Here is a 16,246-nt window from a genome sequence, read left to right as displayed (position 1 = left end):
TGAATGTGGCTCCTCCTCTTCCACCCTCCACAGAGTGGCAGGCAGGGAGGGGAGATGGAGGCATGGGAGATGTGCAAGGGCTGCTTTGGCATGACCCAGGCTCAGTCAGCCAGAGACCGTAATCCTGGCTGGGTGCGGTGGCTCACACCTGTAATCCCAGGACTTTGGGTGGCCAAGGCAGGCAGATCACCTGAGGTCAGGAGTTCAAGACCAGCCTGGCCAACATGGTGAGACCCCGTCTCTACTAAAAATACAAAAATTTAGCTGGGCGCAGTGACATGTGCCCGTAATCCCAGCTACTCAGAATGCCCGTAATCCCAGCTACTCAGGAGGCTGAGGCAGGCTAATCGCTTGAACCTGGGAGACGGAGGTTGCAGTGAGCCGAGATCGTACCACTGCACTCCAGTGTGGGCGACAGGGTGAGACTTTGACTCAAAAACAAACAACAAACAAACAAACAAACAACAGAGACCCTAATCCCAGCCATTCAGAGAGTCAGGGATGAGGACATGTCTGGGCCAGTTTTCTCTGAGACTTGGTATTTGCTCTCTGGGAGAGAGAGGATCTCTTTGTTTTGGATTATGAACCAACCAAAGTAGACTTGGGGCTTCCATACTTTTGTTCTGATGGGAGAATGAAGGCACTGTGGTGGACAGCAGAATCCAGAGAGAGATGACATACCTGCCCATATTCCCGGACTTTCTGGATCCAGCCATGCCTGACTTGGACAATTCAGTAAGTATTCTTCCTTGCTCATGAAGATTCAAGTTGGGTTTCTGACTCTTGCAGTTGGATAATGAGGCTCAGAGTGGCAGGGAGTGGAGGGTCCTTTTCAAGGGATGCTCTTCTACTCCACCACACAGTTCAGATGGTGCCAGCCTTGGGGTGGGCTGTGGACCAGGCAGCCACTGGCAGTGGAAGAGAGACAGGCAGCCCCAGGCCCCCAGGAGTCATGCTGGTGAGATGGTCAGTGGTGGCATGGCTGAGGTGGGGACGGCAGGGCCTGAGGACCTGCAACCTTGGATTTCTTGGAGACATGTTGGGCTGGCACAACTGGGCTGCCACCCTGGGGGTAAAGATCTGCCCAGCCCCCAAGCCCAGAGATACCCGGCCTGATCTAGGCAACCAGTCCTGGGCTCCAGAGAGTTCCTCTGGCCCCGAGGACGTGCAATGTGGGGTGAAGCAAAGCAGAGACCAGGACAGAAGATTCACTTCCTCAGACGATGAAGCTTACTGTCTCTCCACCGCTCATGCCAAGAGCCTGGACATGCAGGTGGGCATGGATAGGAACAGCTGAGTGGGAGTGTCAGTGGCACTGGAGTATGCAACACCAAGTGTGTACGTGCACAAGCTCTAAGTGAGAAGGGCACTAGTGTGTGTGCACCAAAGCTGTCTGAGCAAATGTCCACGAAACCACAGGAGGTGGAGCTGAGGGATGCTACATGTGAGTGTGTGCCAGGGGTATCTCTAGGAACTTGGGAGGGGCCCCAGTGTGTGTATGTGCATGTGGGCTTGGCCAGTGTGACAATGGATGTTCCTCGTGGTGGCTGTGAACAGCCTTACTCTGTATCAACCCTCCTTCCGCCCTCTTCTGGGCGATGCCTGTTGCTTGTGTGTGGCAGCAGCTGCTGGAGCCCTTTGCAGAGACCTGGGACCTCACCACACCCATACACGGGGACCCAATGATGGCTCTTGTGGACTATCACGATGGCGTCATCGCCAGCACGGTGACTCCCCTGAAGACTTTTTTCTGGCCAGAGGAGCCCATTTGGCCTCCACAAGGGGCAGGAATGAACATTCTCCAAAGGGCAGCCTCCAAAAATGTCTGCTGAGCATCAGGGTACAAACAACCCGTCTCTCCCACCTGAGGGCGGGCGTCACTTTGAGGTGCGTTCTACTCTGTGTCTCAGAGTCACCAGTGGGACTGCGCTCAGTGGCCTGCAGTGGTGACCTGCTTGGTGACCCCCTCACTGGCTTCCTTGCCTTTCTTGTTTCCTGCCTCACTCCATCTGGTACTCCTGGGAACACTTCCCTAACCAAACTCTCACCCACATCCTCATCCCAGGGTCTGGCCCTGGGGCCCCTGTCTCCATCGTCCTGTGATGCAGCTTCACCTTCCATCTCCTTGGGCCTCTGATGAGCCCAGGTACCTGGGGTGTTCTCCTTGGCCCCTGGCACAGACAGGCGGCATCTCCTTAGGAATGTGCAAAGGACCTTGAATGTGGTGCCATATGTGACACACCACAGCATAGGGCATGTCGTGGATGGAGGAGCAGGAAAAGCCAAGAGCGTGACAGTCCCAAAGGCCTGTGGGATCCTAAGTCTTTGTGGTGGGAGCTGGGTGTCGGTGTGGGGTGGTTTCGGTTGGGGGCAGCACATGGCTGGACACCATCACTGTGGAAGTTTCTGCATTCATTCCCAGGAGGTGGAGCCCCAGAGCACTGAGGTGGCACCAGAGCCATGCCTAGTGATGTTCAGAACAGAGGGCATGCAAAATGATTATTTTGCTTACAGAGAGGGGGACATAAGTGTCAGGCTTTGTCCAGAGAGTGATGCTGGCGGGGCGGGGGTGAGCCCCAAAAATGGAATACTTGAATGGGTTCAACCTCATAGAACATCTCAAGGGTGGAAGAAAAGCCCAGGGTTAAAATGACGGGTTTTGTCTGCAATTATGAGTGCTGGTGGGTATTGTGTTTCAAGGTGAGAGGAGGGGCTTCCTCATTCTTCAGGGCCTGACTTGTTCACTTTGAGCAGTGGCAGCAGCGAGCCGGCAGGTGGCAGTGTGGGCTCAGGGTGGGGGTGATAGGCGCAGCAGAGCCAGCCTTGGCCTGTCCAGCAGGGACGTGGGCTGGAGAACCAGAAGGATGAGCCTATCTCGTGGTCTTTCCCCCCGCTGCACCCTCCTTCAGGATTGCACCCCACTTTCAAGGCACTTGGGGTCTAAGACTATATTAATGGACTATTCGAATTTTGGATTGCACCCCACTTTCAAGGCACTTGGGGGCATCTAGGACTATGTTAGTGGGCTCTATTGGAGTTCTGGTGGGAGGGAAATGTGACAGAGGAAGGGGCCCAGGCTCTGTCCGCTAAGAGATCAATAGCCCAAGCCATGGTGTTGTGGAGGGCATGGAAAGGAAGAGGGGAATTCCTGCAGAGGGTGAGACAACAGCTCATTTCAGTTTCATTGCCACTTTCCTCTCTTTCCTGGTGGTACAAGCCATCAGGGTGCTACAAGCCAACTCCTGTTAGAGTAAAACGTGTAGTCTCTGAAGTTCCTAGAGTCAGGTCCTGAAGTTGATGGCCCATCCTCATGACGTTACACCAGCCATGTCTCAGAGAAATGATGCCAAGTTTCAGTGAGGTTAAAAAAAAAAAAGCAACTCCTGTAAGGCACTGACTATCCAAATATCCACATCAACAGGAAAATGACAAGGCTTCAATGGTGCTTAATCTTGAGAGGTAATGAATGGGTAGAGATTGCTAGCCGGAGGTGTATTTTCATTTTGTTGCTATTTAGTGTTTCCTTTTCTTACAAGTTTCAGAAGGTATAAACCCTACTCGGGAGGCTGAGGTGAGAGGATCGCTTGAGACCAGGAGTTTCAACTAGCCTGGGCAACATAGTGAGACCCTGTGTTTACAAAAATTCAAAATCAAAAATTAGCTGGGTATGGTGGTGCATGCCTGTAGTCCCAGCTGCTTAGGAGGCTGAGGTGGGAGGATCACTTGAGCCCAGGAGTTCAAGGCTACAGTGAGCTATGTTCATACCATTGCACTCCAGCGTAGGCGACTGAGTGAGACCCTGTCTGAAGAAAAAAAGAAAAGAAAAAAAGGAACCTTATGCACTCTCTGAAAGTGTTACTTCTTGCTACATTTTATTGATATTATGTATTTATTTTGAACACAGAAAAGATACATTGTTGCTTATTCATTGCCTAGTCCAGGAACAAGAAAAGCTATTCAGCTCCATCTTTCAAACACTGATGAGTAGGTAGGAATTTTTATCCCTTTTTTTCCCCCAGCACTCTCTGGAATTGCAGAAGCAGGATGTGTTTCTTAAAAGAGTCTCATTCCTGGACTGCATTTTAAAGGCTATACAGTACAACAGACAGATATTTTTTGCCTAGAAAACAGTACACCACTAAGGTGGTCAGAACTGCTTGTAAACAAGTCCCTCCCCCAGATGGAGTCTGGGGCTCCAGGAGGCTGCACGCAGGATGCTACAGAACTTCTGGGTGGATTCCTTTCAGCTCCGCACCAGAAGAAATGCTATCTCTACAGAAAATAAAATTCAAGATTGCCATCCTTGCCACTCCTCTGCTTAAGAAAGAGATTACTAAATAGTCTTAGCCCTTCATTGGAGGAACAGAAATGTGGGGAAGCAGGATAGGGTGCTGTTTTTTAACGACGAGGGACAAGAGGTGGGAGGGAGGCAGAGTGATGGCCGCTGGCGATGCTAGCAGGGACACTGCTCAGAGATGCTTGGCTGCCACCCTCTGTGGGCTGGGTCTTCAGGAATCACCTCTGTTACCTGCGTGGTCTTTGATGGAAATCGCTGGGGTTTCTTGGTCAAGATCTGAGCCAGCCTTTCTGCAGCCAGGCTGACCCTACAAATCCCCTTCTGTGGCAGCAAGGCTGAGTAGCCTTCTGGTCCTCTTGTGGTGGCAAGGTGGTATTTATGGGGAGCATATCCCCTTCATTTTGTCTCTGCAAACACCCACGTGGGCAAGGCCAGAACACAGCCACTCACCATCCCCAGCTATGAGCAGCCACCTAGAAGGACAGCACCAGCTCCGGGGTCTGGCTCTGACCCATTCGCGTGCAGGCCACAGTGGTCGGCCAGGCAGGGACTGAGGGAGGGGCCACTTCTCTGCCTCAGAGAGGTGCCCAGGCAGCACTGTGGTGAAGCCACCTGGAGAAGGGCAATGGCCTCATCTTCCTTGAAGACCCTTAGTCCTGGGCAGTGGCTGGACTGATGAGGGAACCGCCGCTGCACACCCACGGAGGGCCCTGCCCATCTACCTGGGGCCTGCAGCGTCAGAGATAGCTCTACTAGCACCACCTGACTGAGGGACTGAGGGTACTGGGGTTGGGAGGGGGCCTAGTGGGCTGTGAGGGCCTCCAGTTTGCGCCTGAGACCCCAGACCCAGGTCCCCCACCTTGTAAGTGGCAGGGTGGTGATGTTGTGGCTCATCTGCCCTGGAATCGAGAGATAGGCACAGCGCACAACGGAACCTCACTGGGGCCTGTCCCGCCTCCCAGGAGGACAAGCTGGCCCTGGGGTAGGGGTCAGGGCAGGCAGCTGACCTTGGATGGTCCAGCAGTTTCCAGAGGCAGAATAGAATTTGGGCGCAGCTTGCTGGGCGAGGGTAGGGGCAAACGGGCCCAGGAGAGGGAAGAGAAAATCCCACTTCCTACTTCGCCTCTCTCTCCGAAGCGCTCTCTACAGAGGCACAACAAACAGGCCGGGAGGAGGGACGGGAGGCCAGGAGAGCTCCACGTTCCGTGAAACCTTTGCAGGTGGGTTTTGTGTTTGTGGTAGGCCTGTATGTGCGCATATTCACACATATGTGGAGCACGTCTAGATCTGTGTGTGTACATGGGGTATGTCAGTGTAGATGTCTGTGTGTATACAAGTTTGGTCTATGTGTGTGTTATGAGTCACGTGTGCATCTCTGTGTGTGTGTGCACGCCTTTGTGTGCCTAAAGAATGTGGTTCAGCCTGTAGGGACCAGCAGGACCCGGCTGGCTGGGTCCCTCACACAATCCTCTCTGGGCCAGAGGCTGGGGCCCGGGTTGGGGTGGGTGAGCCCTGGGAGCCCCTTGGCCCTGGGTCTGGGCCCGGCAGTGGCAGCAGGCCTGATGGGGGGCCAGCCCCGCACACAGCCTCGTAGGGGGGAAGGGTGTCCATGGAGACCGTGTGAAGGCCACCTTGGGCCGGGGTCCTCTGCTCCTGCTGGTGTCGGCCAGGGCTGTGGCCGCTGCCTGAGTCGGAGGTGCCATCCAGCGTGGGGCAGGAATCAGTCAGCGAGTAGGGTGGTGGTGCGTCCGTGGGGACATACAGCTGAGTGGCCCCTGGCCCCACACACTCCTCGTAGCTACGAGAGAAGAGGCTCCCTCAGTGCCCCACCTAGGCCTTAGGGCTGGGTCTCTCCCAAAGGCCTGGGGGTCTATCTGCAGTGACAAGCTGTCCTGGCTGTGGACCAGGGTGGGCCTTGTCCACGCTGGCTCCAATGAAACCCTGCTACTTCCCTCCATCTCCAGAGGGGGACCTCAGAACCCTGGGACCTGGATTTGGGACCTGACTCAGCCCTCATATGCGGTGTGAGCTCAACGCATGAACACTGAGCTGCCTGGGTCTGCGGTGCCTCGAAACAGCAGTGGCCACTGTCTAGGGAGCATCTCCCCGCAGCGCACTGGGTGTGCAGAGGCTGGGTAGGACCAACCTCAGGCTACCAGACACCCTGGTCTCCAGCCACTCCAAAGTTCCCCTTCTCAGTTTAGGAAAGAGTCCCCTGGGCCCCTCTGAACCCACAGATGCAGAGCAAAAGAGCACCCATTGCCCCGAAAGGACTGGCAGCACCACCCCTGCTCGAGCCCCTGGGGCAGGGGTGAAGGTGGAAGGCCAAGGAGGAGGACACGGGCCATTCATCCAGGGCTGGAGGGGTCTCCTAGCAGGGAATGGTGGAGGCCCTGACCCCTTTCCCTCTTCGAGTACTGATGGGTGATCTGCCTGAGGGGGGCTGGCAGGAGAGGAACAAAAGCCCTCCAGAGAAGAGCTCCCCATGGGGAGGGGGCTGCTTGAGGGCCCTGAGGGCAGTTTGGACACAGCCACTCCTGTGGGCATGATCACAGGCACAGGGCCCTCCTGGCCACAAGCTCCACCTGTCCTTTCTCTTCCCACTGCCACTGTCTCTGGGGTCCTCAGGAGCTGAGGGCATAACTCCCTCCTTCTGGCTCCATGACCCCCCACTTCTCTGAGAGGAACCCGTCTTGATCCCTAAGGCCAGTCTCTGCCTCAGTGGCTACAGGTGAGGCCACAGAGACCCCAGGCTCAGCCAGACCCTTGTTGCCTGGGAGGTCTCGGAAGGTGTGTGCGTGTATGTGTTCGTGTGTGCATGTATGTGTGTGTGTGTGTTTGGAGGGGGAATCACCTCTGTCTTCGTAGTCGTGCCCCCACCTTCCCCACCCCTCTCCACCCCTGCCTCATGCCTACCCAGCCCTGTCCAGGCACTGGACCCAACCAGCCTTGGGGGTGCCTGACCACAATGGAGGCCTGCAGCTGGGGCATCCCCTCGTGCCTGAGGCCAACCCAACCCTCTGCTCTGACTCAGGGAGAAGTTGGCTCCCAGGCACCCCCAGGGCATCTGTGCACCTCCACCTCCATCAGAAGCAGCCCCACCTGTTCCTGTCCTTTAGATGAGCTGCACCGGGCAGAGGCAGCTGGGGATGGGGGAGGTGCCTGTGTCCTCAGGCTATGGCCTCAGGAACCAAGGGCTCAGGTCTAACCCTGAGCCACATCCCCAGATACCCACAGTATCTTCCTTCCCAGGAAAACCCAGGAAGCAGGGTTATTTGTCCTTATTTCATAAACAAAGAAATGGAGCCCCTGAGAGCCACAGTGACATGCCTGAGAGCATCAACCTGGGCGGCGTCCAGGATGGGCTCAAACCCAGGTGGGTATGACTGGAAAGCCAGGGCAGGGGAAGGGGAGAGGAGGTCAAACCCCACTGTGCCCTCTGTAGCGTGGCACACGCGTGCTCGCCTGCCTCTGGGCCTTTGCTCATCTGTGCCCTCTGCTGGTCACACCCTCCTCTGTATCTCTGAAGGTCCCAGTTCCTCCCAACCCAAGCACCACACACCCTTGACAAAGGCCGATTTCCTGTGTCAGCCCATCCTCCCTGATCCCCTCCCCTCGTCCTCCTCAGCATGATAGTTATCACCTGTGGCCTCGAAATAGTAACGACACCACTGGTGGGAAGAGCCAGTGCCTTGCTGAGCATTTTACTGGCACTTCTGTGTCATTTTCATGAGTATCCTGTGGGGCAGATATTATTATTATTATTTTATTATTATTTTTTTGAGACGAAGTCTCACTCTGTCGCTAAGGCTGGAGTGCAGTGGTGCGATCTCAGCTCACTACAACCTCCGCCTCCCGGGTTCAAGCGATTCTCCTGCCTCAGCCTCCCAAGTAGCTGGGACTACAGGCGCCCGCCACCACGCCCGGCGAATTTTTTGTATTTTTAGTAGAGATGGGGTTTCACCGTGTTAGCCAGGATGGTCTCGATCTCCTGACCTCGTGATCCCCCACCTCAGCCTCCCAAAGTGCTGGGATTACAGGCGTGAGCCCCCACGCCCGGCTGGGGCAGGTATTATTACATGGACATTTCCACAATGGAGAAGCAGGCACAGCGGGATTAAGTAACTTGCTCATGATCATACAAGAAACAATTTCCAGAGCGAGTGCACCTGGGGCCATCAGATGTCAGCATATGGGCTTGTCCCCTCTTTACCCCCCAGTCCCTGGTGTTATTTATAGAAACACAATACAGTTTTTTTTCCCTAGGGGGAAGTTGATCCCACAGCCACGGAAATAGCCAGATACTCCTCTGGCCTTCCCTCCCACCCTGAGGGAGACACCCGGAGGAGCAGATCCCCAGGGAATTCAGAACAGCTGCCACGGAACCTCCCCTGAAACTGCAGGGGCATTCCCGGCATGCCTACTCAACAGCCTGAGGAGGTGGGCTTGTCTCTTCCTTTCCTAGCACTTCCAGGTGATATCTGCTAAGTCACACTGCCTCAGTGGGACCTACTTGGTCAGGAGTGGGGAGGAGGTGGCCATGCCCACTGAGCAGATGTTTTCTGCATTTATACGACATGCAGAGGTGCCACTCTTTCCCATGATGGAGTTGGGGGGTCTTTGTGTCCAGGGCCCCATCCTCTGATGCCCCCTTCCCCATGAGGCCTCCTTACCCTGGTGGAGAATCTGGGTACAGCTCCCTGAGCACCGTGGCATCCACGTCCCCGTCAGAGCTGATGTCCAAGGGTGGGGGCCAGTCCTCTGAGGAGCTGCAGGCATAGCGCATCCTGCGGCTTGAGCGGCTGTATGTGTGCTCGTCCGACACTGCAGGGAACAGACCACCGGCCTGGGCCTCAGACCAGGATCCAGGGATGGTCCTTATGGGTCTGTAGGTCTACCTGGGGCCATGGAGGCTCTGATTCCCCACCTGACCACTCCTCTCCTCACCAAGCACAGCTGCCTTCATCCATCAGTGACAGCTCCAGAATGTGGGTGCCATTGTCGTGTTGGGCATGGGGATACAGAGAGGAAGCAGAGCTGGCCCTGTCCTGGCCAGCTCCCAAGGTGGTGGCAGCCTGCTTTGGGGATAACCTGGCACTAGGCAGTGTGTCATGAGCTTTGGTAGAGGTCCTACTGGGACTGTGGGAGTAAAGGCAGGCCTGACCAGTCTGGAAGTCAGGGAGGGCTTCCTGGAGGAGGGGCTGCTACAGCTGAGTCTTGTCTAGGATTTAACCAGGGGAAGAGGGGAAGGCCGGGAGGAGGGAACTGAATAGCTTTCCAAGGAGGGAGATAAGAAAGAAGAGTGTGGTGTGAACAGGGAGCTTTGAGCTGTGGAGTTGGGCTGGGCATGGAAAATGCGGTGGAGAGTAGCAAGGAATGAGGGCTTCAGAGAACTCTGGGATCAGCCCTCCCACACTCACTGCCCTTTAGGTATCTTGGGGAAAAAAAGGGGCTTCTATGATGAGTCTGGCAGCTCCCCACACTGCATTCTCCTCTGCATTTTTTACCATGCACCAGGACATCAAAGGCTCTGAAAAGTCCTGCAGCTAAAAAACACATTTAACTGTGCCTGTCCAGCATTCGACCTCAGAATCTTCCTTTCTTAGACCTAGTAACACTGTTTAGGAAATGCTGCTGGAGCACAATCCTCTCATTCCACAGCTGAGGTTCTGGGAGGCCCGGTGACTTGCTGGAGGACAACACACAGTGAGTGGTTGGGCCAGAGGGCAGCTGGATGTCTTGGCTCCTCCTTGCTAAGCTCTCTACAGCCCAGTTTCTGACATGTATCGTCCTGGATGGGAACAGTGGGAGCTGCAAAGGTGGCTGAGACACGAGGTCTCCTCAGTCCAGGGCTCCCAGGTGCCTCCTCCCCTCTGGGGGTGGGGCTTGGCATCAGGGGCGGAGCTATAACCTTTCTCTGCTGTGAGTGGCGCAGTTGCCATCCCCATTCTACAGACAAGGAAGCTGATACTCAGGGTCACATACGTGGTGAAGCATGGAGTTGTAATTTATGCACTCTGTATAACCCCAAAGACTGCTCTTCCCACTCCCCTAAACTCTTTTTCCCACTCTTCATATAATAGTGAGTGGAAGAATCTGGATATGAAACTCTATCTGCAGGTACAATTCCAATCCCAGGGTTATATACCGACACCGAGAAAGCTCTCAGAAGAAAATATTCCAAACACGTTGATGGTGGCCCTGTCCAGATGACAGAGGATCATGACCCTTATTTCTTTTTCTTTTTTTCTTTTCTTTCTTTTTTTTTTTTTTTGAGACGGAGTCTCTCACTGTCGCCCAGGCTGGAGTGCAGTGGCGCGATCTCAGCTCACTGCAAGCTCCGCCTCCGGGGTCCACGCCATTCTCCTGCCTCAGCCTCCCGAGTAGCTGGGACTACAGGCACCCGCCACCACGCCCGGCTCATTTTTTGTATTTTTAGTAGAGACCGGGTTTCACCGTGTTAGCCAGGATGGCCTCAATCTCCTGACCTCGTGATCTGCCCGCCTCGGCCTCCCAAAGTGCTGGGATTACAGGCGTGAGCCACCGCGCCTGGCCTATTTATTTCTTTATATTTCTTTTCTTATATTGTCTATATTTTTAAGGTTTTCTATAATGAACACACATTACTTTTCTACTAGGAGAAATGAAGTCAATAACATATGCTGTAAAAAAGGAGCTGAAATGCCATTTGTTTCTCCTGTTCAGGGCACCAGCTGAGAGACAGAATTTTTGGAAGAACTTAGGAAAGAAACTAAGAAAAGACAACAGCACACAGCAACAAGGTGAGACTGGAAGTTGAACCAGGGCTGCTGGGCTTGGGTGCCAGGTACCCCTTCGCCCCACCAGCCAGCATTGCCAGGGAAGGGTTTTTGGGTTCAGGGAGGGTTCCACCTGCAGGGCAGCAGGTGTGCCTGTCACACAGGGATCCCTGGGGAAAGTCAGGGCTGCTTCCTGGACCTGAGAGGAGTGACTGGGTGGGCAGCGCTGAGGGCTGTTAGAGCTGGAGCAAACTGCTATCTACCCTTTCTTCTTGGGCTGCTTTTTCTTGGACTTCCCAGAGGGGAGCATCTTGGGAAAACTGAGGCTGCCCTAAGGTGCTCAGACCCCAAACCTGAGACATCCAGCTGGGCAGAGCTCCTGAGAGACAGCTGGAAAGAAACCTGCACCCGCCACTCCCATTTGAACTTCCCAAATCCCTTCTTTTCCCTTCTCTCCTGACTTCCCTGTCGGCACAGATCCAAATAGTCCAGGACTCCGGAAGCCCTGCTTCCCACTTCACATAAGCTGAAACCTCCTGTTTACCCCGATACCTTGGTTCATTATTTAACATCACTCCAAGTTCACTGCCCCTTGACAGGCTCTGGGAGAGGGAGGAAGAGGAACTGGCACTCATGAGCACCTGCTGTGCTCAATCTCTATGATCTCATCTACCTCACACCCCACTGTGGGAGGAGAGCAGTGGTTACCCCTTCCACCAGATGAAGAGACCGAGAGTGAAGTCACTTGCTCTAAACCTGCAGAAGTGACAGGAGACAGAGTCAGCCACCAGATCTCTCTTAAAGCTCAAGATGGAACAGAATGACAGAATTTTCTTTTCTTTCCTTCTCTCTCCTTTCTTTCTTCTTTCTTTCTTTCTTTCTCTTTCCTTTCTTTTTCCTTTTTCTTTCTCTCCTTTTTTTCTCTCTCTTCTTTCTTCTCTTCTCTTTCTTCTTTCTTTCTCTCTTCTCTATTTCCCCTCCCTCCCTCCCTCCCTCCCTCCCTCCCTTCCTCCCTCCCTCTCTCCCTCCCTCCCTCCCTCCCTCTCTCCCTCCCTCTCTCCCTCCCTCTCTCCCTCCCTCTTTCTTCTTCCTCCCCCACCCCCATCTCATTCTCAAAGATTTGTGGCTCCTCTCTGTGTCTGGCTAGACTACAGAAAGGCTCTGTGGGCAGGCAGAGGGCCAACTCTGTCCTGAGGGTGATGGGGAGCCATTGGGAAGTGGTCACAGTCCTGTCACTTTGGTTGCCTTGTGGAGAATGCCTTGGAGGTGCCAGGCTGGTGGCTGGCAGGCAGGGACAGCTGACATTAGTGCAGTGGCCTGGGAGCAGGTTTTCTTGGAGAAAGAGATGATGAAAATAGCTCACATTTATTGAGCATGTATTTACCCATTAGCCAGGTGCTGTGCTAATTTAGTCCTCACAATAACTGTTTGAGGTGGATCCTCTTGCACCAGTTTTATAGATGACTCGCCTGAGGCAAAGAGAGTTTTGGCAGCTTTCCTGAGGATGCGCATAGGAAGTAGGAAATCAGGCCTCTGTGGACACCTGGAGCCTGAGGTGCCTGTGGGGCTTCACAGGGTGATGTCCAGGGGACTTCTGGGCATGCAGTTCTGGAGCTGACCTGCGGGCTGGAGCTAGGTAAGGGAGGATGATGGATGGTGTATGAGATGGAGCAGGGAGTGGGTGTAGAGAGAGGACCAGGACCAAGGTGTGGGATCTGAGGGACCTTGACTTATAAAGGGACAGAGGAGAGGAATCCGCAGCCAGAGGGGTGGGAGAGAGGCCAGGAGGGCTTGAGTCACCAGAGCTGGGGGGCTGTGAGTGTGTCTGACAGGTGGAAGGGGCCCAGTGCCAAAGGTTGGGGTTCACTGGTACACTGCCCCTCCCTCTTTATTTATTATTTATTATTTATTTATTTATTTATTTATTTAGAGACAGGGTCTTGCTCTGTTGCTCAGGCTGGAGTGCAATGGTGTGATCGTAGCTCACTGCAGCCTGAAACCCCTGAGCTCAAGCTATCCTCCCACCTTGGCCTCCCAAAGTGCTGGGATTATAGGTGTGAGGCACCGCGCCTGGTGGTGCCGCTTTCATGTTCTCCCACAGCTGCTCACAGTGCGTTTCCCTCTTCCCTGGCACCCTCCCAAGGCTCCCGGCAGCCCCTGCGCATCCTCCAGAAGGCTGGGGGAAGATATGGGGCAACAGCACCTCTGGGTTCCCTGCCGAGGCCCCAGGAGGTGTCAAAGCTGTAGCCGAGTGCAGAAGTGGGGCAGGGAGGCCGGAACCCCACAGGGGTCACCACCACCACAGGCTGCAGTGGGGAAGCCAAGGCCTGACCCCGCTTGGCAGAGCTGTGACCTCAGTCATCCCACCCACCCCAGGGACAGAGCCGAGGCCTCATTCATTGGCACCAGTCCCGAGGCCACCACAGGCTACAGAGGGGCTGGCCTGCCCCTAAGCCCATCTCTTTCCTCTGCGCCAAGGCCAACCCCTCAGCCCTCTCAGCTTGGGAACTACTGTGGGCGCCTAGCGTGCACTCCAAGATAAGTCATTGAACAAGTTGCTTCTTTGTGCCTCAGTTTCCCAGTCTTAATTTTTTTATTTTTTTAGAGACAGGGTCTCTCTCTGCTGTCACCCAGGCTGGCATGCAGTGGTGAGATCATAGCTCACTGAAGCCTTGACCTGGGCTCAAGGGACCCTCCCGACTCAGCCTCCTGAATAGCTGGGACTACAGGCATGTGCCATCACACCTGGATAATTTTTACATTTTTTTTGTAGAGATGGGGTCTTGCTGTGTTGCCCAGGCTGGTCTCAAACTCCTGGTCTGAAGTGATCCTCCCACCTTGGCCTCCCAAAGTGTTGAAATTACAGGTGTGAGCCATGGCACCCAGCCCAGTTTCCTATTCTTTATTTACTTTTTATTTTTTGAGACAGAGTCTCGTTCTGCCACCCAGGCTGGAGTGCAGTGGCATGATCTTGGCTCACTGTAACCTATGCCTCCCAGGTTCAAGCGATTCTTGTACCTCAGCCTCCTGAGTAGCTGGGATGAGAGGCATGTGCCACCATGCCCAGCTAATTTTTGTATTTTTAGTAGAGACAAGGTTTTGCCATGTTGGCCAGGCTGGTCTTGAACTCCTGACTTCAGATGATCCGTCCGCCTCAGCCTCCCAAAGTGCTAGGATTACAGGCATGAGCCACCGCACCTGACTAGTTTCCTAGTCTTTAAAGGGGGCAACTACATCTTTTGCCTTGAGGATAAAATACAGTGGCTCCTACCTTGCCCATGGAGCGCTTCCTCCAGGCCTGAGCCTGTCTGGGGACGAGTCACCTGTGGGCCCTGCTCTCATGGATGCAGCACAATCACCCCATGACCAAGACACTGAGGGAGGCATGGGTGCAATGCCGAGGAGGTACAGAGGAGGGGGACACCTATCCAGCTCTGCCTGGTAGGTGTGAGGAGAGGCCAGACAAGCTCCCATAAGGAGGCAGCCTTTGAGCGGGGCCTGGAAGGCTTTTTTTCGGTTCGAGAAGGCCAGGGAATGGCAGTCAGGGCAGAGGGAAGAGCCCAGGCAAAGGGCAGAGGCTGGAAGGAGCATGGACAGGGGACTGGAAAAGAGTGGGAGGAGCTGGGCAAGGGCCAGGCTGTGCGAGGGGCAGGCGGCAGACTGACCATCCTGGGTCTACCCGGCATCCTCCAGGGCTTGGGGACCTGGGTTTCTCTTGCAGGGGATGGGCATGCTCTGGGCAGGAGCCCTGGACTCTGCAGCCTCAGGTTGGTGATGCAGGGGTGGGACAGGCCCGTCCTGGCCTGGGAGTGCTTCTGGCTTGTCTCCTTGGGGAGTCCCTGGCTTCTGGGGAGACTTGCAGAGACTGGGTGGGCTGAGCTTTCCACATCTGTTTTATTCATGCTGAACTTTCTCTTTGATCCTCATTGTTGGACAGTGAGAACAGTCCACTAGCCTGCTGTGTCTTTCCTCAACTGTGGCCACTTGTCCGACTCATCCCGGGATGTCCCTCTGTGTCTTACACAAGGTCCAGCCTCCTGCTCTTCTGATTCTCCTAACAGCTTTCCCAGGGGAGCAACATCCAGGTCTGAGTGACACCCACTGTGGCCATGTACGTGTCTGCCGGACACTGCCTTGAGCCCACGGGGCGGCTCCCAGGGGCGTCTCCCCGACACCTCCAGCTCCCTTCCTGGGCAGTGCTGTGCAGCGGGGCAGCCTGTGGGTGCCAGGTCAGGCTGCCTGGGCTCAAGTGAGTTATCATCTCACTAGGACCATGGTGAGGATTTTGCAGTGAGATTATGTGCACAGACAGCGCCAGGCACCCAGCAAGCACTCCTTACTCACTGGCCATTACTACCCAGGCTCCTGTTCACCAGCTCCAGCTACCCATCAGTCCCCTCCTTAACCAGTTAACTCTGAAAAAGGACAGGAAATACCCCAAACCTGGCTAATCAGGGTGTGTCTGGGAGGGGGAGGAGGGGCCCCAAAGGCCAGGGCTGATCGGATCCAATTCAATCTATTTTAAAAATTTTTCCTATCTTTCTTTTCCCCAAGCTTTTCCTGCCTTGGAGAGGGAAACGCCTCAGGTCTGGCCATGGCTCTGGCTCCTAGGAGGTTGGCATCACTTCACCCTGCAGTGTGAAGGGTGCCTACTGCTGTTAAGCACCTCCAAGGTCCTGCTTTTCTTTTCCCTATCTGGTGGTGGCCTTGGACCTAGGCAGAGGCCCCTGAAGGCCTGTGGATGGTGATTTGGGAAGGAAGAGTCTGGCTTTTTCCTGCCATTGAAAATCGTCTGAGAATGGAATGCAATTGAATTTTTTCCTGCTGCCTTAGACAGCTGGCCCCTTCCAGGAGTGACACAGTCAGGTGGCTGCGTTCTGTAAAAAGTTCAGGCATTCTAGCCACATGCACAGATTTGGGACTGGTCACCCAAGAATTAGCCACCAACTCTGTTTAAGGGTGATCCCAACAACTGGGAGACCCTCAGATCAGTTCTATTTGCACTCTGCTGACTCTCACCAGGGATAGTTTTATTCACTCATCATTCATTCCATAAATTCACCCATTCACTTATTCATATATTCACCCCCATCAACCCATCCCACTGCCCACCTATTTATCTTTCCATTCCTCCACTCAACCCTCCCTTCCATCTCTCCACTCAGGCATAACACTCAATCCACCCATCTAT

General features: G+C 54.5%; 2 protein-coding genes and 1 long non-coding RNA gene across 8 annotated transcripts in view, besides 6 other annotated features; 2 read left to right on the top strand and 1 right to left on the bottom strand.

Moving 5' to 3' along the window:
* Positions 1-16,246, bottom strand: part of BEAN1 (brain expressed associated with NEDD4 1) — a 67,994-nt gene that overhangs the window by 8,608 nt on the left and 43,140 nt on the right. For 4 of the 6 annotated variants that reach the window (NM_001178020.3, NM_001136106.5, XM_011522884.2 and 1 more), the window contains 2 exons: positions 8,971-9,121; positions 3,848-6,095 (listed from right to left, as the gene is read on the bottom strand). In NM_001178020.3, the coding sequence (NP_001171491.1) occupies positions 5,756-6,095; positions 8,971-9,121 (491 nt within the window). In that variant the 3' untranslated portion in view covers positions 3,848-5,755. Of the gene's footprint in view, positions 1-3,765; positions 3,804-3,847; positions 6,096-8,970; positions 9,122-9,244; positions 9,958-16,246 lie in introns of those variants that run through there. The other 2 variants (XM_011522885.4, NM_001197224.4) reach the window with 2 other exon arrangements.
* Positions 399-16,246, top strand: part of LOC124903698 (uncharacterized) — a 19,348-nt gene continuing 3,500 nt past the window's right edge. The window contains exons 1-4 of the mRNA XM_047435016.1: positions 399-5,517; positions 6,262-7,673; positions 8,564-8,737; positions 11,003-11,079. Of these exons, the coding sequence (XP_047290972.1) occupies positions 1,532-2,137 (606 nt within the window). The 5' untranslated portion in view covers positions 399-1,531 and the 3' untranslated portion in view covers positions 2,138-5,517; positions 6,262-7,673; positions 8,564-8,737; positions 11,003-11,079. The remainder of the gene's footprint in view (positions 5,518-6,261; positions 7,674-8,563; positions 8,738-11,002; positions 11,080-16,246) is intronic.
* Positions 1,544-2,524: an enhancer, noted in NCBI's record as "H3K4me1 hESC enhancer chr16:66518060-66519040 (GRCh37/hg19 assembly coordinates)". NCBI's record gives its function as "activates a minimal SCP1, AML or CMV promoter by ChIP-STARR-seq in naive and primed H9 embryonic stem cells {active_cell/tissue: H9 hESC(naive and primed)}" and the evidence as "EXISTENCE:reporter gene assay evidence [ECO:0000049][PMID:30033119]".
* Positions 1,662-1,731: a silencer, noted in NCBI's record as "silent region_7559". NCBI's record gives its function as "represses an Ori minimal core promoter by ATAC-STARR-seq in GM12878 lymphoblastoid cells {active_cell/tissue: GM12878}" and the evidence as "EXISTENCE:reporter gene assay evidence [ECO:0000049][PMID:35858748]".
* Positions 6,360-6,899: an enhancer, noted in NCBI's record as "H3K27ac-H3K4me1 hESC enhancer chr16:66513685-66514224 (GRCh37/hg19 assembly coordinates)". NCBI's record gives its function as "activates a minimal SCP1, AML or CMV promoter by ChIP-STARR-seq in primed H9 embryonic stem cells {active_cell/tissue: H9 hESC(primed)}" and the evidence as "EXISTENCE:reporter gene assay evidence [ECO:0000049][PMID:30033119]".
* Positions 7,981-8,521: an enhancer, noted in NCBI's record as "H3K27ac-H3K4me1 hESC enhancer chr16:66512063-66512603 (GRCh37/hg19 assembly coordinates)". NCBI's record gives its function as "activates a minimal SCP1, AML or CMV promoter by ChIP-STARR-seq in naive H9 embryonic stem cells {active_cell/tissue: H9 hESC(naive)}" and the evidence as "EXISTENCE:reporter gene assay evidence [ECO:0000049][PMID:30033119]".
* Positions 9,062-9,603: an enhancer, noted in NCBI's record as "H3K27ac-H3K4me1 hESC enhancer chr16:66510981-66511522 (GRCh37/hg19 assembly coordinates)". NCBI's record gives its function as "activates a minimal SCP1, AML or CMV promoter by ChIP-STARR-seq in naive H9 embryonic stem cells {active_cell/tissue: H9 hESC(naive)}" and the evidence as "EXISTENCE:reporter gene assay evidence [ECO:0000049][PMID:30033119]".
* Positions 10,109-10,208: a silencer, noted in NCBI's record as "silent region_7558". NCBI's record gives its function as "represses an Ori minimal core promoter by ATAC-STARR-seq in GM12878 lymphoblastoid cells {active_cell/tissue: GM12878}" and the evidence as "EXISTENCE:reporter gene assay evidence [ECO:0000049][PMID:35858748]".
* BEAN1-AS1 (BEAN1 antisense RNA 1) overlaps positions 10,279-16,246 on the top strand; it is a 6,607-nt gene continuing 639 nt past the window's right edge. The window contains exons 1-2 of the long non-coding RNA NR_109960.1: positions 10,279-10,417; positions 11,003-11,079. This is a non-coding gene — a long non-coding RNA (BEAN1 antisense RNA 1). The remainder of the gene's footprint in view (positions 10,418-11,002; positions 11,080-16,246) is intronic.

The sequence above is a fragment of the Homo sapiens genome, chromosome 16 (genome assembly GCF_000001405.40).
Source record: "Homo sapiens chromosome 16, GRCh38.p14 Primary Assembly".
Lineage (NCBI taxonomy): Eukaryota > Metazoa > Chordata > Mammalia > Primates > Hominidae > Homo > Homo sapiens.
The sequence above is the reverse complement of the archived record's forward strand: the minus strand, read 5'-3'. Positions and strand labels throughout refer to the sequence as shown.